Source organism: Homo sapiens, chromosome 15 (assembly GCF_000001405.40).
Source record: "Homo sapiens chromosome 15, GRCh38.p14 Primary Assembly".
Taxonomy (NCBI): domain Eukaryota; kingdom Metazoa; phylum Chordata; class Mammalia; order Primates; family Hominidae; genus Homo; species Homo sapiens.
The window spans coordinates 33,660,426-33,674,935 of NC_000015.10; the positions used below are offsets into that span (position 1 = coordinate 33,660,426).

General features: G+C 42.4%; 1 protein-coding gene across 20 annotated transcripts in view; it reads left to right on the plus strand.

Moving 5' to 3' along the window:
- The window catches only part of RYR3 (ryanodine receptor 3), a 555,136-nt gene that overhangs the window by 349,459 nt on the left and 191,167 nt on the right, over positions 1-14,510 (plus strand). For all 20 annotated transcript variants that reach the window (XR_001751370.2, XR_001751371.3, NM_001036.6 and 17 more), the window contains 4 exons: positions 1,728-2,523; positions 3,112-3,312; positions 8,929-9,031; positions 9,994-10,131. Coding sequence is in view for 18 of the 20 variants with exons in the window: in NM_001036.6 (NP_001027.3) it covers positions 1,728-2,523; positions 3,112-3,312; positions 8,929-9,031; positions 9,994-10,131 (1,238 nt within the window). In the remaining 2 variants the exon portion in view is untranslated. The remainder of the gene's footprint in view (positions 1-1,727; positions 2,524-3,111; positions 3,313-8,928; positions 9,032-9,993; positions 10,132-14,510) is intronic.

The window sequence follows — 14,510 nt, forward strand, 5'->3', positions numbered from 1 at the left end:
ACCAGAGGGGCCCGCGAAGGAAGGGGCAGGCCTGAGGGGCAGGTGAGGCAGAGCCAAGCCAGCCCAGAAGGAAACCAGGAGCATCTGTGTTGGATCCTGCTCAGTCCCAGTATGACTTGATTTCCCCAGTGCCTCAGTTTCTATTCCTTCCCACTTTCATTACTCAGAAACAGCAGGAAACACACTAGGAGGTGCCTGCCACAGGGCCTTTGTTGCAGCTCCTAGTGCCTGGTATTAAGGAACAGTGCCATGCCTTAAATTAAAAACTAGTTTACCTTGAAATATGCATCATTTATGACAGGAAGGGGAAGACTCTAGCTTGACTTAGAGAATCAGGAATCAGGTTCCTGGTCTCCCCTTGCTAAGAGGTGCTATTAATTATGGCTGGGGTTCAATCCCATTGCTCTCTCTTTCTGGCTTTGTGGCCTTGGGTACATTACTTATGTACTCTGAACATTGCTCTTTTCATCTACACAGTGAGAGAAATGCTCACCCAAAGGGTTTCTGGGAGGAAAATAATGAGATTGTATAAGTATAATCTGGTACAGTTTCTGTACATAGTAAGAAATAAATGTTACGGTTATTGCCATCCCTTGACCTCTTTGAATAAAAAAGCAGAGCAATGGGAAAGGGTTGAGGTATTTGACACCTGCATAGGTCCCATTTAGGTGTCCCATTGGGTCACGAGCAGCAGGGCAGGCCATGGCAGGAAAGGGGCAGAAAAGACCAGGAGCCCAGCCAAGTAAGTCAATTCTGCAGGGTCCTCAAATCCATGAGGAGTCGTGAGACTAAATGAAAAATCTAAGCAGAGATTAGAGCCGAGGCCCTGGACCCACACAAACAAGGGAGCAACATACAAACAGACCTCTAAGTCAAGAAAGAGAGAGCCAACTGGATAATGTTAATTGGTTTCAGGTTGGAAGGTGTTTCCTCTCTGGACAAGAGTGCAGAGTATGTTTGTGAAAACAAAACAAGTATGTTTGTTTTCAGGTCGTTGGAGGAACACCCCATGGATAGTGGTAGATTGGACTTTATACAAATGATACAGATCAGTGGTCCCCAGCCTTTTTGGCACCAGGGACTGGTTTCATGGAAGACAGTTTTTCCACAGACAGTGGTGGGTGAGGCTGGGGGAGGGGGTAGAGGGGATGGTTTCAGGATGAAACTGTTGCACCTCAGATCATCAGGCGTTAGATTCTTATAAGGAGCATGCAGCCTAGATCCCTCGCATGCACGGTTCACAGTAGGGTTTACACTCCTATGAAAATCTATTGCTGGTCCTGGTCCATGGCCCCGGGATTGGGAACCCCTGATGTAGACGGTAGACTGACAGAAAGCATAATCTACATTTTCTGAGGAGATTTTACATTTCTGAGGGAAATGAAACATCTGCTTGATCCTACAAGTAAGACGACCAAGTCATCACTCTCATATATGTGAATGTTTTCTGTTTGGGAATTTCGGATTTTTTCCTAATAATGAAGACTTTCATATTTGGTAAACCAGTGTCTTGCAGGCTTTTGAGAGCCTTGTAGTTAAATACAGTGGAGTACTAGGAACTGGAATACGGACCAGAGCTGAGAGAGGCATGATAAGCCATAAGAGAAACTGTGGCAGAGACCCCTCCAACCTTCCACCCACCCTGCCTTTGTTGGGCTGGATGAAATAGCTGGATTCTGGTGGGTTCTTCTCCCCCTGGTGTGGCTGATTGCTCGTCCTGTCCTCAGGTGTGTGGATATCCTGGAGCTCTGTGAGCAGGAGGACCTGATGCGGTTCCATTACCACACGCTGAGGCTCTACAGCGCGGTGTGCGCCCTGGGAAACAGCCGCGTGGCCTACGCCCTGTGCAGCCACGTGGACCTCTCCCAGCTCTTCTATGCCATTGACAACAAGTACCTCCCCGGCCTCCTTCGATCTGGTTTCTATGACCTGCTCATCAGCATCCACCTGGCCAGCGCCAAGGAGAGGAAGCTGATGATGAAGAACGAGTACATCATCCCCATTACCAGCACCACCAGGAATATCCGCCTCTTCCCGGACGAGTCCAAGAGGCATGGACTGCCTGGGGTGGGCCTGAGAACATGTCTCAAGCCCGGGTTCAGGTTCTCCACCCCTTGCTTTGTTGTGACTGGTGAGGATCACCAAAAGCAGAGCCCCGAGATTCCCTTGGAGAGTCTCAGGACGAAGGCTCTGAGTATGCTGACAGAGGCAGTGCAGTGCAGCGGGGCCCACATCCGAGACCCTGTAGGGGGGTCTGTGGAGTTCCAGTTTGTGCCTGTGCTGAAACTCATTGGAACCCTGCTGGTCATGGGCGTGTTTGATGATGATGATGTTCGGCAGATCCTCCTCCTGATTGATCCCTCTGTGTTTGGGGAGCATAGTGCGGGGACAGAGGAGGGAGCAGAAAAGGAGGAAGTGACCCAGGTGGAGGAGAAGGCTGTGGAGGCTGGGGAGAAGGCCGGCAAGGAGGCTCCTGTCAAAGGCTTGTTGCAGACTCGATTACCCGAATCCGTCAAGCTGCAGGTAAGCTGCAGGTGGTTAAGTGGAGGCAGGTTAATAGATCTTCTGCTTTGATCAAAATATCAGGAACACACTGAGGATTAAAGGAGGTAAGGTATGTCAAGTGCTTGGCATAGTGACTGACCAAGAGTGCTTGATGATTATGGTGCTTGTTGTTGAATAAGTTCTAAAAGTGATAAGATTGGTAATAACAATCCAAAACAACTCATCCCAGAAAAACAGTGCAAAAAACAATGAAAGATGGAGAGAAGGACAAACATCTCTACTTTCCATCCTCCAGGACTGGAACATTTCAGAAAGGGAGGCAGCATTCACGTGCATGATCTGGAGCTGGTTTTTCTACTCAGCTTCCTGGGAAACTATTTTCTTAGAAATATTTTCTCTCTCTCCATAGGCAGATTTCTTCTGTCTTTAGTGAGCTGTTTTCTGTTATTGCCTTCGACTTAATGGTGAAGATTTGAGTAACAGCTTTATGGCTACTGTGTGGCAATTTACTTTGTCTAAGTCTCAGTGCTACTGTCTGTAAAATGGGCATGCTAGCAGCCTCACCAAAGTACACAAAGTGTTATCTATATAATACTTTCATTGCAGATGTGTGAGCTCCTCAGCTATCTCTGCGACTGTGAGCTGCAGCACCGAGTGGAGGCCATTGTGGCATTTGGTGACATTTATGTCTCCAAGCTGCAGGCAAATCAGAAGTTCCGCTACAATGAGCTCATGCAGGCCCTGAACATGTCTGCGGCCCTGACTGCCCGGAAGACCAAGGAGTTCCGCTCACCCCCACAGGAGCAGGTGAGGGTCCTTCCTGAGCCTCTGTCCAGTTCCTATGGAAGAACTTGAGACCTATGGAACAGGGCACATGAAACCTCTATGGTCTCTGGGGCAGCCTCAAGAGCTATGGAAGATGAAAAGACCCACTGCAATACCAGGAGACAGGCCTAGTCCTGAAAGCTAAGGAATATGTGCCAATTCTCTTGGGTAGGAAAATACCCCTTTCTAAACTGCACACGTGGCAGGGCTTCCTCCCTTCTTTAACCCTCTCCAATGCCTCCATTACTGATTCAAAGACCAGACCACTGTTGGGATTCAATTGTCTCCTCAGCAAGGATACACCACTCAGAAGGATTTCTGCCAACCCTTGCAGAAGTCACTACCTGTCTATCAGTTACCAACAGAATAGGGTCAACCTGCCCCTACTTATGAGAGTTGGCACACAGTCTTCTTCTTCTAATGCGTCTAAACCCCCTTGCCGGTGGCACGACTCTCTCACAAAGCCTCCCCAGCTCCATGGAGCCTGGAGAAGGGGACTCAGTGAGTGAGTCATCTTTGTGATTTGTTGTATTCATTCTTTACAGTACCCACCTTGGGGTTAGCCTTACCCCGATGGGAAGGGCTTCTTTAAGAAGAGTCAAGATCCTAGTGAGAAATTTCTAAATGAGGGAGACACATTCTGTAGAATAGGAGTTTCCATTTTCCCCGCTGCTCAGTGGCTCACTTAGACCTTGCAGATGGGTTGACCACTGCTCCCTAAGTGTTCAAAAGAAAAGATAAATCTTTCAGCGAAGGAAGTAGTTTTTGTTTTGAAACCAGATCTTTGGATTATATTTATACACATATATATATAGATATATGTGTGTGTGTGTGTATATATATATATATATATATATATACGTATGTATACATCTGCGAGGGAGATGCAAAATGTAGGTAATCTTTGCATCTCCTCCCCAGGGTTCTTGCAAGGATCACGTGAGATAATTTGTTTGGATTGCTTAGCATGACGCCTGTCATAGAGTAAGCATACATACATGTATATAAAACAAGCAGCCTGTCCATAAAGTGTTGTCAATATAGTTACCACCATTTTATGTTAATGGCAGAACTACAACTCCATCCAATTACTTTCCTAACCTATTTTAAAACGTAGATATCTATATTGGCTTAAAAATGAATGACATATCTTGGCTTTCAAAAGACTCTCTTGAATGATACCAGCCTGGCTAATGAGTGGGTAAAGCTTATCATCCCTTTGCAAAATGAGAAAGCCCTTTGGATTGACTGGAACAGATCATTTGCACCACACAAAATGCACAAGTGTGCTATTTTTCCAAGAATTACTCCTGAAGGCTTTACAAATGTTGTCAGGCTGCTTTTAGACTGGCAATAGATCTGCATATTCCCTATTTCACTGGGCGTATTCTGGCTCTTTCATATGTATTTGTGAATAACAGAAGATACAATGACATGGTGATGGTAACACATGTTGGCCTTGGGCTGTGGGTTCCCAAACTGGCTCCCCCATTGCTCGCTGTGTGGTCTTCCACATGACCTTTCTGTATCTGTTTCTTTAGCTGCAAAATGTGGATAATTTTTGCATCTCCCTCCCAGGGTTCCTGCAAGGATCCCATTTAGATTGCTTTGTGTGATGCCTATCACAGAGTAAGCATTCTGTAAGTACTAAGCGAGCTACTATTACTTTTATTGTTGGAGATATTTGCAATTGCTTCATGACAGGCTCTGTGACCTTCTATCAGTGACCCGATGAGTGGAGTTCACACATGTTTTCTGGCATCTCTTTCTCCCAGCCAAGACTGGGGTTGCCCACCCAACACTGTCCTCGTGGATATAGCTGCTCATGGTTCCACATCTTGGGAAGGACAAGGTTTACTCACACACTTCCTTTCCCCATTCTGCCTCCATACCTTCTGCTGTCTCTTGGGCTACCATTTAGATCCACTGCCAGTCTAAAAGCAGCTTGACAACATTTGTAAAGCCTTCAAGAGTAGTTCCTGACAAAACAGCATACCTGTGCATTTGGCACAGTGCAAATAATCTTTTCCAGTCAATCCAAAAGACTTTCTCATTTTACATCTAGCAAAGGGATGATGAGTATGTACCATCCTTTAGTATTCTAAGCAATCCTCTGATCAATCATTTCAGACTCATTTCAGAAGTCAGTAACTCAAGAAATTCTTCACTAATGTATTAGACCAGTGATTCTTGAGCAAGCATCAGAATCATCTAAAGGGCTTAATAAAACACAGATTGCTTGGTTTCACCCCTAGGGTTTCTTTTTTGTGACAGAGTCTCACTCTGTCATGCAGGCTGGGATGCAGTGGCATGGTATCAGCTTACTGCAACCTCTGCTTCCTGGGTTCAAGTGATTCTCATGCCTCAGCCTCCCAAGTAGCTGGGACTACAGGCATGCACCACCATGACCAACTAATTTTTGTATTTTTAGTAGAGGGGTGGGTTTCCCCATATTGGGCAGGCTGGTCTCGAACTCCTGACCTCAAGCTCCACCTGCCTCAGCTTCCCCAAGTGCTGGGATTACAGGTGTGAGCCACTGTGCCCAGCCTCACTCCTAGGGTTTCTAATACGGTATGTCTAGGGTGAGGCCTAAGCTTTTGCATTTTTAGCAAGTTTTCAGGTAATGCTGATACTGCTGGTCTGAGAATAAAAATGAAAGAAGGGACACTTACCGCTATGAGATTCAGCTGTCCCCCTGCCATCCCTCTCAGAGTATTCACTTCTACAAGGCACCTACCCATAGAGTCATCAATATCAGAAGATTTAATGTCATCAAAGGATATGGTGGATTTAGATCAATTTCAGAGAATAGCAATGCAAAATCACTTAGAAAATAGGATGCCTGAAAATTACAATTTTAAAACAGTGATATCCTTCTACAACCTTTGAAGAGAAAACAGATTTTTAAGCCCTATGTCCAGAGAGTATTCAGGGAGATGGAAGAAAATGGGGGATATAACTAAGTACAAAAGAAGGTAAAACTGAGATTAGTCCAAGGGTTGCTGGCAAGTTAGCCAAGCATAGCCAGCTGGCCTTTCACTTCCAAGAGGACGTTATTAAAGGGCATGACCTGCAGTGGAAAATTCAGCTCAACCCAGCTTTCTGTTGTATGTCCTACAGGCAAGGAAGCCCCTGCTTCCTAAATGTTCTGCCAAAGGAAAGATCTTTTAGTAAAGAAATTCATTTTCTAACTCAGAAACCAGATCTTCAAATCTTATTTTTATTTAATCGACAACAAATCAGCATATGTTGTTAATATAATTACTGTAATTTAACCTCACAGAAAAACCACAAACGTGACCCAACCTGTTCTGTGGATATTTTTTCTTACAAACAATACCTCTACCTACTTGCAAAATATGGTTTGCAGTAAGATCTTTGTGTAGAGTTCCTCCTAACAATGCTACACAAGGTTCATGATTTAATAAGAGATTGCAAATTTTTCCAACCTAGAAATCCTAAACAAAAGGAGTTTGGGTTATCCTGGCTGAGGCAGCAAAATGTTTACCTCTGGTTATTTCTTCTGTCACTCCAGGTGTTCAATGACCTGGGGTCGTGGCCCTATAGGCAGAATTCAGAGATCCAGGAACCTGAGTGGAAAATGAATGACAGCTTTATTTTCACTGATCTCTGATAGCATTTCTTTTCTTATTTTAATATTGGCAGCAAAACAAGTACCTGACTTTGACACCAACCAAAATTGCACATTTTTTCATGTCACATTACAGTGGTTACGGTATCTAGAAAGATCATTTTCATTCCTTACTACTTCAAGACCACAGTGGATAGATATAAGACCTGCCACTAGATCATTTTCTCTAATGAGTTAATAAGTACATACGTTACTACATCACAAATTTGATTTCTATAGTTTTGATACCTGTATTACAGTATAATTATTTCTCTTTGTAGTCCTATGTATTTTATTTTGTGCATTTAAAATATTAATCAGAGAAGCAATCCATGGGTTTCACCAGACTGTCAGAGGGGTCCATAGCACAAAAACTACTAAAAATCCCTGAGTCAGGCCCGGCGCGGTGGCTCATGCCTGTAATCCTAGCACTTTGGGAGGCCAAGGCAGGTGGATCACAAGGTCAGGAGTTCTAGATCAGCCTGGCCAACATGGTGAAACCCCATCTCTACTAAAAATACAAGAAATTAGCTGAGTGCGGTGGTGCGCACCTGTAATCCCAGCTACTCGGCACCCTGAGGCAGGAGAATCACTTTAACCCAGGTGGTGGAGGTTGCAGTGAGCCAAGATTGCACCATTGCATTCCAGCCTGGGCAACAAAGCAAGACTCAGTCTTGAAAAAAAAAAAAAAATCCCTGAGACAAAAACTAAAAAGAATGATAGATTGGCATGAAACCCCCTCTCTACTAAAAATACTGAAAATACAAAAAAAAAAAAGAAATCAGCCGGGCGTGTTGGCGGGCGCCTGTGGTCCCAGCTACTCGGGAGGCTGAGGCAGGAGAATGGCGTGAACCCGGGAGGCGGAGCTTGCAGTGAGCCGGGATTGTGCCACTGCACTCCAGCCTGGGCAACAGAGCGAGACTCTGTCTCAAAAAAACAAACAAACAAACAAAAAAACTTGTAGACAAAATTAAAAGCTGACCAAAAGCTGGGCCAATACATGTAGAGTATAAAAGTATATAAAAAGTTAAAAATCTAGAGGTGTCCAAAGCACTCAGGGGCAAATTTTTTAAAGATAATTACCCAGTAGAAAAATAGAGGAAAAACATGGATGGGAAATTTATGAAATACAAAATAAAATTAATCTTTATGTGTGAAAAAACAAATTTCAACCTCACCAATTAAGCATAAATTAAAGCAACAGGGATAGGACATTTTTCACCCATTCAATTGAAAATATTTGAAAATGTGTTAACTCTTATTACTGTAACGAAGATGGCATAGTAATACACACTTGTATAAACTTGTTAATAATGCAAATTGTAAGCTTTCTGAAGGGCAATTTGTAAATTCATATAAAAAAACATTAAAATATGCAAACCTGTTCCTCTAGTCATTTTGCTTCTGGGAGTTTATTCTAAGAAAATAATCAGAGACATGAAAAAAAATTATTTTAAAGGAAACTCAAACCAGCTTTATAAGGACAAATAATAGAAACAAATATGTCATAACAGAGTTAATTTTACATAAATTATAATTCTTCCATATAATTACAATGCACCTATTAAAAATTGGATTAAGAAAGTAAGAAAATGTTCAAGTAACATTAAGTGGAAAACTCTGGTTTTTAAAAGGTGTATCTGGAATGTGATCCCATTCTGTGCGTATACCTACATAATGTCAGGAAGACATTAGCTAAAATATTAACAGTAGTTATCTCGGGGTGGTGGAATCACAGTAAATTTTCTTATTTAGGTATTTTCCAAATGTTATACAATTAATAAGTTACTTTTAGAATCAGGAAAAGGTGAAAGCTACTTGTAAATATTGGCCACTTTTACCAAAAAAAAAAAAATCACTAAGTAAAATAAATTTGAAAAGAATGTAAGTGTCTGTCTAAGGCAGGATCTGAGTTCCCTTGGCCAACATTGAGAACCAACTAGCTATTCTTCTCTTGCCTCTCAAAGATCAACATGCTGCTTAACTTTCAACTGGGAGAGAACTGCCCCTGCCCAGAGGAGATTCGGGAGGAGCTGTATGATTTCCATGAGGACCTTCTCCTTCACTGTGGTAAGCTGCCCAGAGAAAGGCTTTGTCCTTTTTTTACAAGAAGAGTCTGTTTTTGATTCCTTCATTAGAAAGCTAGTGGGAGGTTGGGAAGTTATTTTTGTATTTAAAATTGCAATACTGTCTTTCAAGACGTGACTATCCTAGCTACTTGTGTCAGAAAAGATACAGGAAGTAACCCTGACAGAATATATGACCAAAATTCCTTCTACCTAAAAGAGCCTGTGCTGAGATATAGAGAGGAAACAGGGTTTCTAGCAAAAGAATGAAGACAACTGATCCTTATATAAACCTCACCTAATTTGCTTAAAGTTAGTTGGGACTCTCAGCTTCCAGGTGAGACAAGATTCTGATCTCTTTGCTTTTTAGCTATTAGGGGTGTGTGTGTGTGGGGGGGGGGGGGGGTGTGGGTGTGTGGGTGTGTGTGGTGTGTGTGTGTGTGTGTGTGTGTTTAGTAACTTCTGCCCTTAAGGCTTCTCAGCCAGCAATCTCTACTTGGATACGTACCTACTGGTTTTAAGCAGCTCTCAGCATTTGTGTTGCTTGTACATGGGTAGGTTTAATAATATATGGGTAATTGACAAGCTTTTCATTTGAAATAACTCATTGTTAACTTCTTCTACAGATTCTAGGGCCACGTCCCCCAAACATTCTTCCAGAGGTTTCAACACTATAAGAGTGTATGTAATCCCCCTTACACTCTTTCAGAGGTTTTGGGGGTACAGATTCAAAACACATGTTTTAGGATTAAACTTACTTGTTGTTCTGATAAACAGGAAATCAATATTTTTTTTTTCAAAAGCTATAAGATAGGTAACTATTCACGAGAATAGTATCTTTAGAAAGCCTGTAGTATCTTTAGAAAGTTCCAGAAGGATGGGAAGCAGTTTTTTAAATGTTCTTTGTGACACTATGATGGTTTCATGCACTGCTTTGGATTTTCACCCTGTTCTGTGGCTTGCTAGGGGTTCCTTTGGAAGAAGAGGAAGAGGAGGAGGAGGACACCTCCTGGACAGGAAAACTCTGTGCCTTGGTTTACAAAATCAAAGGCCCACCCAAGCCAGAGAAGGAGCAGCCGACGGAGGAGGAGGAGAGATGCCCCAGTAAGTGACATTGCCTTTAAATGACAGTGTGCTCTTCTAAGACTTAATTAATGTAACTTTTTTTAAACAAATACTGTAAGATAGATAGGGGCTGCTTAACTTCAAAGAAAGCATCTGGGCAGTATGTTATAATTGCTGGTGGTTCAGTTACGTATTTTGGGTTCTGCCTTTCTTCTGATTGAAGAAACTTACTTTCATACTGTCCTGAAACCTGAGATGGGTTGCTTGGTGTCTGTTCTTGCTGTCGTGTTCTACTTAGAGGTGCCTGTAAATACATGTCTGTTCTTCTTTTAGGTTTCCATAGTCTTCCTCTTTTAACCATTATTGTTTCTTAACGATTATTGTTTCTGTCACTTCCCTTTGTGGTTCCTTAGCATTGAAAATTGCCCCAGAGAGAAAATAAAATAATAATAAAAGAGAGTTTGTAAAGGATATAGGATATGAGTTTGGGGGGGTTGTTTTTGGATTTGGGGTATGATTTTTGAAAATGTAGCATCCTAGAAACTTTGACTTCCTATTTTTCAACAATGCCGAGCTTTGTCTAGATTTATCTCTCTAATCCTTATACTATAGATGACTCCTACCGTTTTGACCCATGATGAAACAAGATTATAACTTGTTCTGCAGGGCTGTTAGACTATCTCTAGGACATGAAATTTCAAGAGGAAGATTGTCTTGTCTGAGTATTATATATAATCAGTCTACTCCTTGGTACAGATTCAGCAAATTTATCATTTGTTTAAAGAAGAAGGAATTTCTCAGGTTTAATATCGTTGCTTTTTATCTTGTTACCTATTCCTATCCATCTTGGAACACCCTTTCAAATCGTAGACTAGAGCAATTGACTGTCAAGATAGGATCAGTTTGTCTGAAAACACTACTTTGGGGTTCATACATCTTACTGCCCTTACTGCCCTTTATATCGACCTTTCAACTTTGTCAGAATATCTCTGAAGGGAACAAATCTCACCATTTGTCATCGGAAGTATTGAAACCTCTGGAAGAGTGTATGGGGGACTTGGCAATGGCAACCCTTGATAGGGTAGTTCCATCAGTCACTCTGGAAAGGGCGGGTCTTTTGTGAGGATGTGCCAGCAGCACTCTAAAGCCACAAAAACGTGAGTTTAGGCTCCCTTTGTGGTTACCGCCAAAGGAGAACTGAAAATAGGCTGAGTTACCCATATGTCTCCTATATCACCTGCTGAGAGTCTCTTTTGAAAGTGGTTGCTTCTTTCCCACCTTCTTTTTCTTTTTTTTTTTTTTTTTTTTTTTTCCTGAGACAGGGTCTTGCTCTGTCACCCAGGCTGGAGTGCAGTGGTGTGATCTCCACTCACTGCAACCTCCACCTCACGGTTCAAGCGATTCTCCTGCCTCAGCCTCCCAAATAGCTGGGATTACAGGCATGCGCCACCATGTCTGGCTAATTTTTGTATTTTTAGTAGAGACAGGGTTTCATCATGTTGGCCAGGTTGGTCTCGAACTTTTGACCTCAAGCAGTCTGCCCTCCTCAGCCTCCCAAAGTGCTGGGATTACAGGCATGAGCCACCACAGCTGGCCCTTTCCCACCTTCTTTTTAACAGAGAGTTTGTCATGGCTGGCGGGGGGTGGGGTCCCACCAGGTGACCATTTCATGTGAGGTAAATGGAGTCAGTCAGATGAAGTCACTTGTCACCTGCCTCTGTGAAGCCTCCCCCTACATCTGTGAATGGTGTTCGGGCACCAAGGATTGCAGTCTGCAGCCCCGCTACCTCAGGCCTCAGGCACACAGACCACATTCTGTCTGTCTTGGCAAAACACGCACACCCGAGAGGCCAGCCCTGTATGAGACTGCGTGTCTTCACCTCATGCTTCTTCCCTTCCACAGGAGGAGTTATGAGAGGTTCACGTTTCGTGTCATAAGTACTCTATCTTGGGATCCCAGAAATAGACGAAATGGTTGAGGTGATCAGGCATGTTTGGCTTCTCTGCTGAATGTTCCAGACATGATGAATCCCCTCACTCAAGCCTGGCATTTTAAAATAAATTCTAGAGAGTGGTTTAACAACCACCACCCCCATAAATTGTTTTTAATATGATCAGATGGAGACAAGGTTGCTGATTACAGAACCATATGCATTAAAGGGTCAAAATCCTTTAAATTATTGGTAATTTTGTTCATGCTATTGCGTATCTGATTTCTATTACCCTTGCATTTGATGAAATAATAAAAGTGTAGATAGTGTTAGAAACGTTATACAATGAATTGGCAGTTTACTGAATACTTCCACACATATTCATTTACTGCTGTTAGTTTTCTACACTCCTCCATTGTATAGTTGGGGGAAGCAGGACTCAGAAGAATTAAGGGGTACTTGTTTATTCTTTCTACCCTTACCCGTTCCAGAAAAACGTCCGGGTGTCTGATTGTCACCAACCTAAGGTACGTAAAGTGAGTAAAGCTATGGCTTGAAGGCAGGTCTTCTGTCTCTTTGTATTGTGCTGTGCTTCTCCACTGTACCCTTGCCAAAGAACTTACCAGCATACATACCATGAGCTACAAACACATTTGGAATGGCTTTTTAAAATCACTCTTTTTATCTTGCCTACTACATCTGTGAGATATCTCACTGTTTTGACTCAAAATCTGAACCCAACGGAATTCAATGTTTTAACATTTAAAAGTTCACCAAACCAAGGATCTGAATCATTTTCAGATAAGGTGGTGGTGGGCTCACCCCGCAGTCCCTCTGCTGTGAGCAGTTGATGTTGGCCAATGACCTGCAGAGAAGCCACAACTTTTCTAGGAAAGAGAGAGCAACAGTGTCCTGAAACTCACATTCTGAAATCTGCTAGCTGGCTCAATGTTGAAGGGATTTGCCTAAATTAACTCCAAGCCATATTGTTAATGAAAGCTGTTACAATATTATCAAAGGATCAAATGATAATGAACAAGTGAAAAAATCTAACAATAGTAGCCACTGTACTAAGTCACTTTTTTTTCGTATCTCCATCCAGAAAATTCCCTAGAAAATGTTTTGCTTGTTCCTTCTGGCCAGTACTTTTCCAACGCTGCAGTTTAAGCAGCATTTCCTTCAATGTAAATATATAGGCATTGAATTATTCTTCCAGAAGAGGCTGACCATCTATTTCTCCTAAATTCTAAAATTAACAAAATAAAAACCATCTGTCAAATTTTACAGATTAAAATTCGGTAAATTCTTGATCTCTGCCATTTGTTGAATGCTTTCCCCATGGGAGAAGGAAGCTCCACGCTGGCATCTTATCTCTATGCTTAGAGGTCTTGAGATGACCCATTGCAATTCAGCTTTGGGTGGCATCGGTTAAGAACTGAGTTATAGGTGAGCATGGCTGAGTCTTTCTGAAGGAGGTGAACATCCCTCTTCTGTCTTTAGCCCTGTGCTGTTTGCCACAGAATGTTACCTCTCGCAGAGATTAGGTGGCACTCTTGGCCTTGAATAGTGCCTGCTCTCCCCTGCCACTCTTCTCCTAATGAAGACCAGAACTGGAGGTGACCTTGAACCTGTCAAGCCCCAAAGTCCTTACGTATGTTACCTCTTGCCTATTCACTGAACAGCCTAGGAGCCCTAAACCAAAATTCTCTCCCAGCTAAATGCTGTAGCATGTTTAGTGCTGAGAAGAAGAAAACATCTATACGAAATAAGTCCTAGCCCCTCAACACAAATACGCACATGCAAAGTGAGATAACTTAGTAGTAAGTACATCTGCAGAGCTCAGGCAGTATTTCTAAGCCTCTTCTCTAAATTCTCTCCAAAGAGCCTCTCCCTAAACACACACACACACAAACACCTCCTCTGTGAAGTCTTTCAAACTCATTCTTTTTCCCTCTACCCCTTCCATATTGTGGAATTTCTAGTAGTGTATGTATGACTTTCCACGTTATGTGAGGTACTTGTATATGTGTTTGTTTTCCTCACCAGGTCTTAATGCAGGGAACATGTCGTACTTGTTTCCACACTCAGCTCTATGGCACAAATCTTTTTGACCTCCAACTGAATATTGGTTACTTGAGGCTCATAAAAAAGAAGAAAACAGGGACCTTTCAGAAAAAGGAGGAAATGGGTATGGCTAGGCAACTCAAAATAATCATGAGGTTGGATGTATTGTAATAAAAGTACAGACAAAATACAGTAGGTGGCCAGAGGAGGAGATTGGGAAATTGTCTGTGAAGAATGTAGATGGATGGATAAAATAAGAAGGAAAAGGCATTTTTAATGAAAAAAAAAAAAAAAGCTGCTTCAACAAAGGCCCATGTGCAGCAAAGTTCATGTCATATACAGGAGTGGCAACAAGTTGAGAATGGCTGAATTATAAAAAGAATAGAATGGGTCAGAATGGAAAAAAAAAAAAAAAAGAGTGGT